This window comes from Homo sapiens, chromosome 1 (genome assembly GCF_000001405.40).
Source record: "Homo sapiens chromosome 1, GRCh38.p14 Primary Assembly".
In the NCBI taxonomy this organism is placed as follows: domain Eukaryota; kingdom Metazoa; phylum Chordata; class Mammalia; order Primates; family Hominidae; genus Homo; species Homo sapiens.
The window spans coordinates 83,424,412-83,440,919 of record NC_000001.11 but is presented as its reverse complement, the minus strand read 5'-3'; the positions used below and the strand labels follow the sequence as shown (position 1 = coordinate 83,440,919).

The following is a 16,508-nucleotide window of genomic DNA, read 5'->3' as shown; positions in this document are numbered from 1 at the left end:
ATCTGCTGTTCCAACACTGTTAATTTTATCTACCCGAAGAAAAAGAACAATACATTCTTCATTGATATAGTAAGTCACATTGCTTCATGTCTCTTGCCCACAGACTTAATCTTTAAGAGGCGTGTAAATAAGCAACTTAACATATGTGACCTCCTGACCGTGAAGTGTTAAATTCCAGGAACTATATTACTCCACCACTTTTATTTGTCTGTGGGAAATCAGTTGATTTATGCCTGTTCCCAGGATACAATAAAAATGTGCAGGTATGCCAAACTAGAACTATTAGAACCTGTCAAATAAAAATTTTTGTTGCCTTTAAAATCTGCAAATAAAAGTAACCTTTGATTAAGGATAATACGCTTTATATCATAGTTTTATCAGTATTCAGCAAAACATATCCAAACAATTTAATTTCAATATAGTATAATACATCACAGCCTTTGAAGAGAAAGATCCCCTGCCTGATGAGAAGAAAAGTTTCTTATTTACAAAGGAGTTATAGCAAAATGGCAGTTCTACCAGCACAGACAAGGTAGATTAACAGAAACATTCAGCCAAGCAGGGTCTGAAGTTTCTCAAATTTGGCTTATTTACATTGTCCATTCATTCTTATTTTATGGGCTTTAGAACTTCAGATGGGGTCCAGCTAGTATTATAAACCAAAGTGCCGAAATAACCCACAAAACTGTTACAAAGGAATTCCCAGCTCAGTTTTCAGACTCAAGAGTTTGGAATCATTTCAAAAGGATTCTCAGCTCTTACATATTTTAGGCAGGTCTACATTGATATAGAGTGAGACTCAAAAGCAACTTGGAGAATTTCCATCTCATTAACACTTCATTTACAGTACACCTATGTCAAGCCTCAGCCTTGGAGTTCTGGTCTTGGCTTAAATGAGGGAAAGAGAACTTCTCTAGCCAATACTGAGCTGAGTACAGATTCTGTTGTGTATAGTCATGATTGAAGCATGCTCACATCACCTTTGAACTCAGATTTCTCAGTATTCTTCAAAGGATGAAATATTTCTTTAAAAAACTGTATGCCTTTATTTTTTCTCTGTCATTAAATGTTGTATATTTGTATTCTGGTTCATTTTTCAAGCTGGATTTTTGATGGTCAAAATTATTAAACAAAATCACTTGGGTTTGGAACATGTACAATCAATCCCACTCTGAAAACACCCTGTATAAGTTGGGGTTTAAGAAAATGTCACTGTGGAAACCTCAGCAGCAGTTAGACAAGGATTGTGCTTCATTCACTTTTGTGACCCCAATGTTTAGTGCAGTATCTGTAACATTGCAGATGCTCAATGTTTGAGAATGAGGAAATAAATGAATGAACGAGAAGGAAATTTTCCTGAATGCATTCAGTTTATTCCAGACAGACTTTGTTCAACACTCCGCTGTAAATCAGAACAAGACCTCAGTCAAGCTGTGGACTACATAACATGACATAGGTAAATCATCACTGGGGTCCTGTCAGGTTCCAGGGAAGCAGGAAAGCAGGAAAGAGCTGACAGCCACCAGGGTCATTGTGCAGAGTATATCAGAAAGTGGTTTTAGCTGACCAGTGGGTTGGAGGTCTTATGGTGTCGGGAGTGCACAGCTTTATGCTTAGTTTCTAATAACTTTCAATTACCTGTAATTGTGATCAGGTAATGAAAAGTATCGGGGACCTCCAAAATAATTTATATTATATAAACATATGTATATTTGACATGCTATGCTTCAGACTTACATTTTTAATTGAGATTCTCATTAGTCAAGACTAAAATCAGTTATTCTCATTGTTATAACTCACTTTCACTAAAGCTTATTTGAGATTAAAATATAATGTGAAAAATTCAAAGATAAAATGACTATATACATATATGTATACATATACACACGCGTGTATGAAACATACTTTTATATGAGTATACACATACTCACATAGCAACAACACCTATATGATTCTGTATTTTTATAATGATATATAGCCCATTATATAGATGAAAATATGTGTGCATATACATACATATGGATTAGGTATATATAAAACTGTATACATTTATGGAATGGTATGGGTGCTACTATTATGTGAGTATATGTACTTGTGTGTATATGTGTGTTTTGTGATGGCACCATTCTTTTATCCACCAAATATTATTGAACATTTACTGCATTTAGGAACTCTGCTGGGCACTTAGGATATAAAAAGTGAATCCGTCCAGACCCTGCCTTTAAGAATGTCCTGCTATAGTGAGGAAGCCAGATTCATGAACCCATCTGTGCAGTTTAAAGATGATGTAGGAAAATACTTTATAGAGGGGCTTAAGAAAAGAATGTTCCAAATATTCATCAATGCCTTCCACTTACCACATGCAGGCCTTTCCTCTTTCTTTCTAGTCCTATTCATCATCCAAGTCATGAATTTTCAGATATTTTTTTTCTTTAATAAAACCTCAAAATGGTTGTAAGTGTTAGTGGGAAGGTTTTGATTTATGCCTCTAAAAGCTGTAAAACATTTTGCTTTTCCCAACATCACATGAAAATTTGTTGCTTGAACTTTGGAGAGAATTCTTCCCTTTTAAATTTCTTCCCTTTTATCATATTGTAATTTGTTAAATGGAATGAATCATTAATGGATTTCTTGTGATTTTTAACAGTAACCACATTTATATATCTTAGCAACATTCAGAGAGTGTGTGCAACTCTGTAGACACCTTGGAAGTAAATAAACACACACAAATATGCATGATCAGACTGATGAAAAAATAGCATTGTTGTTTATGTCATGATCTATGAGTGCAGGTATGGTTGGAAAATCTGATGAATTATGAACATTCTGTTTCAGGGTTTTCACCTGGTAAATGGAACTAACAATACCTTCTGTCCCTGCTACATAGGATTGCCATGCATTTCAAATAAGATAACATGAGAAAGTGGTTTATGAGATAGAATTTACTGTATAAATACATGTCTGGCCAAGGTGTGAGGGCCATCTGGCTGCATATCAGACTCTCACAGGTTCCTAACTACCAGGATGGCTTCTGCAGGTGACTAGAAGGATATATTTTATATTTGTAGATCTCTTCCTAACCACTTTTCCACCTCTTTCAAAAGCCTAATTCTGTCCTCCTTTCTTGACCATTCTCTGTGCTCTAGCTTCTATCTTTGCCTCTGCCTTTGATTTTGATACTTTCTCTGGTAACAATATCAGTTCCTACTAAGCTACTTTCTGTTGTGCCATCTGTTCCGAGTTGCCTCTCCATTGCCTTCCCCAACTTGATGCAGAATTCTTCTTCCCTAAAGTTGTCCTCTCTTTTTAAGCTCAAGCTCCTGTGATCACATGATGTCCTCATTGGGCTTGCCTGTGCATTTTTACAAGGCAGTGCTAGTAGAAATTTTTAGAGTTATCCAAGCCTATTTAATAATGGCAGAAGTGCTGAGCATTTACTTTCCAAAATGGCTGAGGTATCAGAGAAGGGCTTAGATTTTCTAGGCATACTCACCTGAAGAAAAAAAAAAATCTTGTACTCTAGATGCACTTAGGATAGAAAATATATTGACTCGTTGAATAGTTTTAACATTGCTTCCAGTGCTCATTTGGAATAAAAAGGAAAACAGTTGGGTCTGACTAGAATTAATTAGACACCTCAAATACGTACTTTTGATGAGAAGATTACACAAGATATATTACAGTGTGATGTTTAAGACAATAGGCTTTTATTTCAGAAAAATCTGAGCTTAAATATTGGCCGTAACATTTAATAGATTACGATACACGGCAAGTTACTTGGCCTCTCCAAGTCTCATATTTCTCATATAAAATGATACTGGTTGTCTCCCTTTTTGCTAAAAATGTAGAAAGCTGCAAGAGAATGTCATTTTACTCTACCAACAAAAATAACAACAAAATCTATGAAAACATTACTCTTTTAAAGAGACGGCTGGGCGCAGTGGCTCACGCCTGTATTCCCAGCACTTTGAGAGGCCAAGGCAGGCAGATCACGAGGTCAGGAGATCGGGACCATCCTGGCTAACACGGTGAAACCCTGCCTCTACTAAAAATACAAAAAAGTAGCTGGGCGTGGTGGCGGGCACCTGTAGTCCCAGCTACTTGGGAGGCTGAGGCAGGAGAATGGCATGAACCTGGAAGGCGGAGCTTGCAGTGAGCCGAGATCATGCCACTGCATTCCAGCCTGGGTGACAGAGTGAGACTCCGTCTCAAAAAAAAATAAAAATAAAAAATAAAGAGACGAGGCTTCTAATCACAGAATCTTATTTTCAAAGGCTGAGAAACTCCCTCCAAAAAGAGATTAGTCAAATAAACCATTTCACCTTTGGAAGATTATGAAAGAAAGAGGTGACTGTCAATTACAGCCAGTAAGGAGAAAATAGCCAAAATTTTTAACACGTTTTAAAAGGCCAAGTGTAAAGTTAATATGATAGAGTAGAATCCCCAGGACTTCAGATATGTGTGAAGTCTGTACTTTCTAAATATTTTTTAAATTTACAGGCCCTACTTGTGCCCACAGAAAGTATTTAGGGAAGGGGAGGAAAACTAAGTGAACACCCTCAATGGTGCATCTTCATATTTCTCTCAAATGAATACTGGTTGTCCCCCTTTTTCTGATCCCAGAAAAGGGGCGGGTAACTCCTTCTTCTCCTAGCACCCTGGCAAAGAACTACTGCCTGTGGGAGAAGGTAAAAGCAAAGTAGTTTGCTTCTGGAGGAGGAGTTAAAAACTCAACTACTTCCAGTCCCAGGAAAAGGAAAGGAGGAAGGAATAGAAGCAAAAGCTGCCTGTTCCAACCAGAAGGTTTGTACTGAGTAATAAGCAATAGCAGTGTACTACTGCAGAAGTGCTAAGAAAACCCCTGCCAATAGAAATAGGCAGGGGTAAATTGGAACCAAAAGAGGAATGAAAACAAAATCTATATTCCTTGAGAGAGAGGAAAAAACACTGCTAGGACCCAGGATTTTGAGATGATACAATGCACAGGGGGAAATAACAGTATTCTCTCCCACCCAGCTCCCCCACCCTCCTACAGAAATAAGGGAAACATTTGGCTACCATGAGGATGGGCAGGAACACTGAGAGAGCTCCATTCTCAAGGTCTAGACACCCAGGACTTACGTAAGTGTGAGGCTGGGTCAAGATAATAGAAAACTACCCACTTTACCCATCACACCTTGAACAATGTGCAAAATAATAATTAAGACAGAACAATAGTATAAAGAGATACTCCTAAATGGCATAAGCATACAAGGACTGTTAAAAATTGAGAATAGAGCAAGAACACAGGGGAAAATCCTCCTACGACAAAATCCAATTAAGCACAAGGTATCGACAGTGAAATGCCAGTGGAATGGGAAGTTATTGCTGGAATGAAGGTTACCATGGCAATAACAAAACACAAGCCAAGCTCAAAAACTGATTAGACTGACTAAACCTTCCCAACATGACATGCATATGAATGGCATGAGAAAATAAAAGGCATGCCTATTTTCCAGGATAAAGACTGTTTACCTCAGTCTATATTATTTTAAACACAATGTTCAGCAATAAACCAAAAATTACAAGATACACACATACTCATTGGTCAGGGGTGGGGAGAGAGAGAGAGAGAGAGAGAGAAAGAGATATTGAGGGAGAAACAACCCACTGTCAAGGTATAAAGTAGCCAGCAAAACCAGATTTATAGATGATCCAGACATCATTATCAGATAGAAACGTTAAATAAACTATGTTTAATATTTTAAAGGATTTCGTGGATAGATGTTATACATACATAAGCAAATGAGTAATTTCAGCAGAGATGAAAACTATATGAAGTATGTGTCATGTGCAAAGGGTCAAAATAAAAAAAAATGTCACAAATAAAAAATTCCTTCAGTGGGTGTATGAGCAAACTGGACAGAGCAGAGAATAGACTCAGTTGACTAGAAGGTATATCAATGGAAACGTAAAGAGAAGAAAACATAATGGTGCATCCAGCTGCTATGAAGCAATGTCAAATAGTCTAATATGTGTGTAATTGGAGTCCTAGACAAGAAGAGAGAGAAACTTGGCAGAATAAATTTTGAAGAGACTAGGTAAGAATTTTCTAAAATAATGAAAGTCAACAAATTTTCAATTCCAGAAGCCCAGGTGATCCCAAGCAGTATAAGTATAGATCAATCAATTGATCAATTGATGATGGATAGATAGATAGATAGAGAAAATAGAATATACCTAGTCACATTACACTTACACTACTGCAAACCAAAACAAAGAGAAAATGTTATGGCTGTCAAAAGGAAAAACAACAAAACACATTATACATAAGGTAACAAAACTAAGAACAATAGCAAATATTTTTGCAGAAATCATGCAAATTAAAATACAATGGAGTTACAACTTTAAAGTACTTGGAGGGGAAAAACCTGCCAATTCAGAATTTGCTATCCAGTAAAAATATCTTTATAAAAATAAAGACAAAAAATATACAAAACAAATCTGAGAGGACTCATTGCCTGTAGACCTGTACTATAAGCATTGTCAAAGTAAGTTCTTCAAGCAAGAGTATAACACTAGGTGAAACTTTTGATCTGCATAAGACATACAGAGTTCTAAAAGTGGTAAAAATGAAGATAAATACAAAAGAATTTGATTTAATTTTGAACTGTTTTAATAAAAAAATAAAAAACAAGAAAAAATATCACCATTCAATATGGGGTTTATAACTTATATAGATATGAAATGCATTACAGCAACTTCATAAAGAATGGACTGGATGAAATAAAAGTATACTGTTTCAGGGTTTCTAATGGTATCTAAAGTGGAGAAATATCATTTGAAGATAGACTGGATAAATTTTAAAAATATAATTTAAACGGTACAGTAATCATTAAAAAATTGAAAAAATAAAGATGTTTACCTAATAAACCAAAGTGGGAATAAGATGGAGTCATAAAATAAAATACAGCAGAAGAAAACAGAGAAAAACTAAAAAGAACAGATTAGACAAAGGAAAAATAAAACAAATAACAATATAATAAAGGGTTAAAATACCCCAATTAAAAACCATAGGTATTAAGATAGAATCAAAAAGTAGAAATACATCATATGCTGTCTATAAAACAAAACTTTAAAATATAACAACATAGATGGGTTGAAAGAAAAAGAGTGAAAAATATATTGTAATTGCTAATCAATAATTTCAGAAGTAAAGAGACATATAACATAAAGAAGTGAATTCACCAAGAAAAAATAATAATTTGTAAATTTGTATGCACTTCATAACAGTGCTTCAAAATATGGAAAGCAAAAATCTGATAAAACATAAAAGAGAAATAGGTATATCCCAATTATGGTTGGATATTTTAACTTTGCTATCTAATTGACTGATGGAATCAGTAGACAAAATTTTAGTAAGAATATAGAGGACCTGGATAACAGATTCTAATAACACTAACCTACTTGATAATATGAATCTACTTAACATTTAGAAAGCACTCCACCTAACAGTTGCAGGAAACACATAATTCTTATGTACACATGAAACACTCACCAACATAGACCATATTCTAGTTAACAATGAATTATGCAACTATTGAAAATAGTTTTCAACTATAAAACTCTCAGCAAACTAGGAATAGTAGGAAACTCCCTCAATCTGATGTAGGATATCTACAAAAAGTCCACAGCTAATATTAGATTTAACAGTAAAAGACAGAATACCTTCCTCCCAAGGTCAGGCATAAGGTAAGGGTGTTTACTCTCACTACTTCTTTCCAACATTGCACTGGAGGTTATACCAAGTACATTATAACAAGAGAAATAAATAAATGACATACAGATCAAAAATAAGTAAATGAATGTGTCTCTATTCACAAACAGGATAATTCTTTCTAAAGAAAATCTCAAGGAATTTACAAAAATATCTACTAGGACTAATAAAATGAGGTTAGCAAGGTCACAGTAAATAAATCAATATAAAAATCAATTGTTAGCAGTAAACAATTGAAAATTGGAAATATCATTTAAATATTATCAAAGTCATGAGAGGTTTAGATATACATCTAACAATGTATCCGTAAGATTTGTTTGATAAAAATGTCAAAATGTTGCTGAGACAAATTAAAGACCCAAATAAATGGAGACATATACTATATTCATGGTTAAGAAGATTCAATATTTTTAGGATATCAATTATTCCCAAATTCATCAAAGATTCAATGCAACAATAGTCAAAATTTCAGAAGGCTTTTTAGTAAAACTCATAAGATGATATAACATTTTATATGGAAAAGCTAAAGGCCAAGACTGACCAATAATTTTGAGAAAGAATTACAAACCTAGCAAAATTACACTACCTGATTTCGAGGCTTGCAGTAAAAAGGATAAATAAATTATACCTTAATAAGTCTGACTTTTAAACATGGACATAATAAAGTACTTGCCTCAAAGAATTGTTTTATGACTTAAATGAATTGACAATACTAGCACAGAACAAATGTTCAACACATAGCTGCTGTTGTCATTGGCAGTTGTTGTTGCTAGAGAGTCGTAGAGGAAAATTTCTGCTTTCCACCTGGGCCCTCCCACACTCCCCTTCCCTCACCCCTGCCACTAAATGTTCAATAATTAAAACGTCTTTTTATGTGAGACATCAAGAGCTCTTTCTTTTTCTGGGTGCTCTCTACAGACTCAAGTCATTAATAGGTCTTGTACCCATTAATAATTTGTATTCTGGGGCATCAGCCTCAAGTGTGGGTATCTTTCATTTTACCTGTTCAGGGCAATTGTGAAGACTTGGCTGGAAGCATTTTTGTGCCTGGTGAGATAAGCATGGCAGCTTCTCCAGTTAACAAGAGAGATCCTGTTAACACATAGGCAATTTGAAAGTTGAAGCAGGTTTATTCTAAAGAGCCCTATGCTCCAGGTCCCATGCTTCCTCTGACCTCTTTCAAGATTCCTAAAAGAGGCCCTAGCCATGTATTCATCTGAGCACAGACTGCTATACAATTTATAAATGTAAAATATTTTAACCATAATTGTGTGAGACCACTGTCTCTTTCCACGCTGTATTCCCCTCGGCCATACTTCCTTTCATATCAGGCAGGATTGGAGTGGCAACATAATTTTTTCTTTTTCTTTTCTTTCTTTTAAAAATTAATTAACTTTTGCATTTTACTAAGAGAAAGTTGAGTTGGAGACGAAGTTTGGAATGTTTAAAAACTTCCAAATATAATTCAGTCATTGCTAAACTGAATTTGGATACCTGTAAGGAACATTCCTTTTGCCCACTAAGTTGACTTACTTGGCATCATGTCATGAAGGTGCTGGGGTGGAGGTCATGTTGTGATATGAATGTGAACTACAGAGTTTGGCAATAAAAATAGTTGGGCGGTATTTTCATACCATGGAATACTACTCAGTAATAAAAAGGAACAAATTATTCCTATACACAGCAGCCTGGATGAAGCTCCAGAAAATTCAGGTGACTGAAAATAGGCAGTCACCAAAAGTTGCACATTATATGATTTCATTTATATAAAATCTTTGAAAAAATAAAAACATAGAAATAGAGAACATGTTGGTGGTTGCCAGGGTTAAGGAGGAGGTGGGGGCAGGAGGGAAGTGGGTCTGGCAGGAGGGAAGAAGGACACCATAAGGGGTCTTTGTGGTGATGGTGGTACTTTGAATCTTGACTGTATCAACATCAATATCCTGGTTGCGATGTTATAGAATAGTTTTGCCAGACGTTGCCATATGGAAGAAATGGGTCTCTCTATATTATTTCTTACAATTGCATGTGGATCTGTGATTTACTTAAAAAAAGTTTAATTTAAAAAATTGAAGAAATAGAGAAATACTTGGGTAGTGGCAGAGAAAAGGTGAAATACCTGGAGCTAGAAGATGGTCTGTTGAAAACTCTTCTAAACATTAAACATGAAAAATTGTAAGGGACAGGGGTAGAGTTAAGTTTTTGTAGATGCCTAGTCAAAATGGTGGGTCTCTCCTATTAGGAATATACCTGAAAAGTATAAGTGTAACCATAATCCCACAACATATATTTTTATGGGAATTGTGTAAGATAGAATTTATCAGAATTCCCATGTTTGTAGGCAGAAATCCTGAGCAGCATTACAAACAGCAGGTACACCTCTGGGAGAAATGTACCCCAATGTGTCTGATCACACTGAATGCATCTGATATATCTTATCCTGAGAAAGCCTGGCAGTTCCTGGAAGAACTCTGTGCAAAATTCTGCAGACATGGATAAGCAGCCTGAAGACATAAGTGACCCAGTGACAAAGTATCTACACACATTCATCAATAAGTCAACGTAGGTAATAGATGACAGCATTTTGACCACATAGTTATCTAGCTTATTTTAATAAAGAAATTTTAAAATGCATTTGAATTTTTCCTATGTATGCTAATTCAATTAATTTTACATATTTTGGGGATTATTAATCATATTATTAAGTAATATGAAGATTAAGGACAATGTATACTGTATTGTATGGTGCTAGGCTCATAGGTACTTAATGGATAGCAACTACTAATTACAATTTTAATACTATAAGTTTGGTGAAATAATAGGTCATTAATAAATAACAACTGCTTATTGTGGATAGTGCTGTTTAGTTGTTTACTAAAGATTCCTGTGGGAAGTTTCTTATGGGAGATGGTGTACACTGACTAGGCCTTTGAGCAGCAGACATTTGTTTGTGTAGAAGACTTCTATCTCATTGACAGTGATAATGTTGATCTCAGAATTGTCCTGCTACAAGTTTAGGCCACAAGGAGCCCCTAAGTTCTTATCATTGCAGGCCGGGTCAACCTCCTTGCTCTTGCCAGATTGCTAGGATAATTTCCAAATGCTCATATGGCTGCAAAGGTATTTTCTATTATTTATTTGGAATATAGGAGAAATGCCTGGTGCCACCATCAATGGTAGAAAGAAAAACAATAGCAGAATATGTCTTCATGTTCTTTGCTGGCAATACACTAGGTCAGTAAATGAATGATATTTAATTGTGCATTCTTACAATGCCAGATATTTTGGTATGGCAAGAAAATACAATAGTTATGGAAGTAAATAGCTACTAGGTGTGTTACTTTTTAAAAAGATTTTTTTTTAATTTATTTTATTTTTATTTATTTATTTTTTAAATTTTACTTTAAGTTCTGGCATACATATGCAGAACGTGCAGGTTTGTTACATAGGTATACTTGTGCTATAGTGGTTTGCTTCACCTATGAACCTGTCATCTAGGTTTTAAGCCCCACATGCATTAGATATTTGTCCTAATGCTTTCCCTCCCCTTGCCCCCACACCCTGCAACGGTCCCCGCTGTGTGATGTTCCCTTCCCTGTGTCCATGTGTTCTCATTGTTCAACTCCCACTTATGAGTGAGAACATGCAGTGTTTGGTTTTCTGGTCCTGTGTGAGTTTGCTGAGATTGATGGCTGGTGGGAAAGGAGATATTATATTAAATATCCCTTCAAATTCTTATATAGCTTGACTTTAAAATATCTCAACTTAGCATCCTTTTCTGTAAATAAATTCAATGCTTCATTAAAACACACCAGTAATATAAATGATAATGAAGGCCTTACACTACTATTTACCTTACATTTGTTTTGTGGCACTTTACATATAATTCTGCATTTGGCTACATACAGCTATGTAGCTATGTAGAACACAGCTCCTGTAAGCTGTCCATTCAACTGTTCCAAATATGCAACTTCTCATAGCTACCTCAGGGTCACAGAAGGCTGCCTTTCTTTTAGCATCACATTCATTTTCCAGACAGGGAACAGTAAAGGGAAATACAATGGGTGAGTTTAAGATCTATCTTCTGTTCACATCTCATTAGTATCTCTGTGCTACGTGTGCCATACTTGCCAACTCACTAGCTGCAAGCAGTGGTGAGGTTGTGGGTATATGTGTAGGAATGCATGCATGCATGTAGTTTTAAGGAGAACACATTATGGTCACGAACAAAGTCTGTGTTCTTTTAAAAGGAAAGGGAGACAGGATTTTGAGCAGGAAAAAAGTGAGGACTGCCGTACATAGTAGTCTTCATGAAAGTCCTGTAAGATGGGTGTTACTATTTCTGTGAAGCATGCTATAGGCAAAGTTAAATAGGCTTTTAAATAAGTTGTGAAAATTATGTTTGCACCCAAGAAGTCACATTTGGATGGGAATTATTACAAAGAATTTTTCATCAATATGATTCAAAGAAATATAGAGTAATCACAAGGAACTTTCACAAGCTTAGAATTGTTTGCGCTTAGCAATATTCTCCAGTGTACGAGTATCATTATACTTCCATCCTACTAGGCTTCTTCAGTTCCTCTCACCCACTGGGGGCTTTGTTCTTGTTTTCTATGTTTCAAAACCTGTTTGATCTGGTGTTGAGGCTATCCAGATTCTTTTTTCCTTCAGGTTTCAGTTCAAATGCCATCTGCCCTGGACGGTGTTCCAGCTCCCCATCTGGGTATTACCTATCCCCAAGTCATTCTCTATCACATTATCCTGAGGTGTATTGCCTACAGAGCCTATTACTATCTACAGTTATCTTGTTTATTTACTTATCTTCTGTATTTGTCCCTACCAGGACTTAAAGTCACTGGGAGGCATGGATTTTTATCTTTCTTCCCATTCACTGAACTATGACTGCTAACACCACCAATGCCTGATACATTGTAGCCTCTGAATACATGCTTGTTTAGATTCTGAATAAGAATACTCTGAGGGCATGGTAGCATTAAGTATTAAGAGACAGGATGCCATGCAGGTTTCTACTAGGCTTTGGTCAGTATCTATTCCGCTGTAGGAAGTATATGCAGTGGTAAGTGGCTGGATTTTGGCTGCAGAAAGGTGGTCCTACCAAGCACAATACAGGCAAGGAGTGATTGTGAACAATTAACAGACCAAAAAGTCAAGCCATCAGGGCCTTTGGGCATAAAAATGGTCTGGTTATTCATGGTGTTTACATGGAATGGTGGGAAGAGAAAGCACAGAATGCTCTGTGTCTCTTTGAAGTTTCAGAGCACTTACTGCGTAGATATCCGGCATGTCTGCAAAAAAAATGCACAGCTGAGCAGAAGGCACCAGTTCTTAAGACATGTGGGTGACATGAAGTATAGTTCTGAGAAAGCCTAATTCAACCCAGAAAGCTCAGGAATGAACCCTTCAGAAATATCTAATTCCATGGTTATGAGCATTTACTTGAGTTGAATAATAACTAAAATGTTTTCCTCTTGCATAAAAAGAAAAGGACCTTTATGTTTTTAAGCAACATTTTCTTGCCAAGCTATGAATTATGACCCAGCATGTTGTATTTTGCCTACAGATGTTACAAGGAACAGTAGAAATTAGCGGAGCTTCTGAAATCGTTTAAAAGGTTAAATTTTTGACTTAAAAATCAAGCTGGTAAATTGTATTTTTGTCACTGATAAACATTTTATTTTCCTCAAATTTTGGACCAAAGTACTATTGAAAACTGTCTCTTTGCTCTTAATAGGGGAGATTATTTCGGTGATATTATATGATATTATATTGTCTGTAGCAGGATGTTTTAGGAGAAAAAATATTACCCCTATATTCTGTATGGGGATGTCTCTCTGGCTTGCATTGACAGTAATCTCAAGGTAATCCTTTGAAATAAAAACCTATAAAAAATGTTGTGACAGCACAAAGAGATAACGTGTGGCAGAGGAAATGAAACTAAAGTGTTTATTTTTCTGATAAAATAGGAATGCCTCTTCTTTCCCAGTTGTAGCATAGTGACTCAGTTCAGTGAACTATATCATCCTCTCTGGAGCTTAATTAGAAACCTTGTAAACTGAGTGCAAGAGGCCAGAATATATGTTGGATGAACACAGAAAAGGCTTTTGCTGGAAACAGGAACTCCTATGAACCACCTTATAACGGGGTTTAATGACTTTGTAATTGGATTGCTCCATTTGGGTTCAGAAAAGGGGAGCTTCTGTTTGTTCAGAAGGATGATGAGAACTATGGACATTGCATGTTTATAACTGAAGCACTTTTCCTTTGCTGCCCAAATTTCAGAGGCATAAAACACATTGATACAGATTCTCCCAGTAGTGGCCTCGTGGACTGTAAACTAAGCATCACAGTGATTCTCTAAATGGTATCCTGATGAATTGCCAGCTTCTGCCAGGGTGCAGAGAGACCCTGGTTCAATAAAACAAGAGAGATAATAGGCGATCAGGAAGGAATCAAAACTGTTTCCTTGAGTAATGGCATCCAGCAACCCCTCTGCTGAGGGAGGCAATGAAAGGTGGGTGAACCCCTTGAAAGGGGTCAGTAGATTTCCTATTCTTGAAAAGATAGAGTCCATTTTAAATGTCTGCTGCATTCAGATGACAAACTATGGGTCCTTTCTAAATATCTTTTTCTTTTTCCTTTTCTTTTGATTCATTAAAAAAAAAACCTATGTTTTTAGGGAGTTTACTTTCTTCAGTCATTAAGCTTGGACGTTAAGTATACATTGTTGATCAAAAAAGCTGTGTTCTTTGCCCTGGAGTTTATAGTTCATTGAACTTAATGGTATTGAGAGTCTGGAACGATTGTTCCATAATTTTAGAGGTTCTCAGGACCAGTGATAGAAAATTATTCCCTAAAACCAAGGTGCATTTTGATATTTTTGTGATTAAAAAAACATTAAAAAGATTTTATAACTCTGGCATTTTCATCAGATACATATACTTACATGCTAACATTCATGTTCAGTTATATGATATGCATAAGAGTATATAAATGTTTTATAAGTGGCAACTTGTGACCATAAAGCATATGTAGAGCTGATACCTAGTTAAATTCCTATGGTAAACTCATCTTTTCAACTCACCACATCTTCCATTCTCTAAAATATATTGGAAGATACTTATGTCCAAATAATGTACTTAGAAAATATTTTTCCATCTTTTGAGCTTTTTCACATGATGATGCAAGTAACATTTTACATTTTCCAGGACTGGTTTCGTGGTAATTTCCTTTCTTTTGTTTTCTTTTCTTTTCCTTTCTTTTCTCTTCTCTTCTCTTCTCTTCTCTTCTCTTCTCTTCTCTTCTCTTCTCTTCTCTTCTCTTCTCTTTTCTTCTCTTGTCTCCTCTCTTCTTTCTTTTTTTATGTAACTGATTAGGCCTTGGGAAGAAGAAAGAAGAGTGAGGCCCTGTTATAATTGCCACACACTATATGACATGTTGTACTTCAGCCCCCTTTCGCTAACAAAGTATAAACCTGATGATGATTTATGATGGATAAAAGAGGGCCTTTCTACCCCAGATAAGCTGCCATGTTTTTCCAAGTTGCTTCAAATGCCCCTCAACTCCTCATTCTGGCTAATGCTTTTATTGACAATAATTTAAGGTGTTCAGTTTGCATTTTCCCCCTAAGTCCTTCTACTTGTAAATATTCTATGCTAGAGATTAAGACATTATTTCTGCGCTTAATGGACAGCTTTAATGGACAACAACAAGCATGTCTTTTGTTATGACAAAAGATAACATGTCATAAGAGAAGCACTAATGAAATAACAAATTTAAAGTGCCCAGCACAGAAGAAAGAACTCTGCACAGAAAATACATTCAGTAGGTGCTTTTTCCTTTCTCTTCCCCACTTCTGTGGGAAATGTTGCATCTGGTTGGAAGAATAAATAAAGCGCTTATAGGGGAGATGGAATTTTGGTTTTAAAAATTTGGAGAATTGTCTGTGGAATGTAAACCAATTTAGCTAGACAGGAAAATAGCGTAATTATAGAAAAACAGTTAAAATGATTTTTGGAAAGGTGGGCTGCAGCCTGATACGCAGGGCTTTGCAATTTAGGGTGAGAAATTTTAAGATAATTTCATTGATGATAGGAAGCCATTGAGAATATTTAAAGTAAAGAGAATCATACTAAGACCTGTGCTATAGATAGTTAATCCATAAGCTGTGTGAAGAATGAATCAGGGAGAAAAGGGCAGAAAGATAATTTTAGGAGGTTAGTTACATAAAAAGATCAACAATTATAATCTTTACCATCATTTAATGCGTGTTGGGGCCAGAATTTTTATATACATATTTTTTCATCTTCTCAGCTATCTTAGAATATAGATAAGTTAAGAATATGCTAGTTAAGAATATGAAGCTCAGTGGGTTATTCATGGCATCACTAAGTAGACTATGCCATGACTTATATAAGGCATATTACTAGTTGACCCAGTGTTTAAAACCACATTTTTCTGATGCCACACCCCATAATAGAAAGAGAACCCGCACTAACCTTAATGAAATGTGTGATCTAGGAAATGTCTCTAAATTTTCCTAGGATTCAGTTTCTCCATATGAGGAGACAAATCAAACTTTTAAATTTTACAGTCTACCTATAGACATACATCCAATTCTTATTACAGTCAATGGCATGCCTTTGCATCCCAAGTGGCCGGGGAATCAAATACAGACCAACATGGAATTTCCTGGGGAGCTATTTTCTAACTGAAAAGAACCTTACTCTTC

General features: G+C 35.7%; 1 annotated feature.

The window, feature by feature from the left end:
* Window positions 12,684–13,207: an enhancer, noted in NCBI's record as "OCT4-NANOG hESC enhancer chr1:83893396-83893919 (GRCh37/hg19 assembly coordinates)". NCBI's record gives its function as "activates a minimal SCP1, AML or CMV promoter by ChIP-STARR-seq in naive H9 embryonic stem cells {active_cell/tissue: H9 hESC(naive)}" and the evidence as "EXISTENCE:reporter gene assay evidence [ECO:0000049][PMID:30033119]".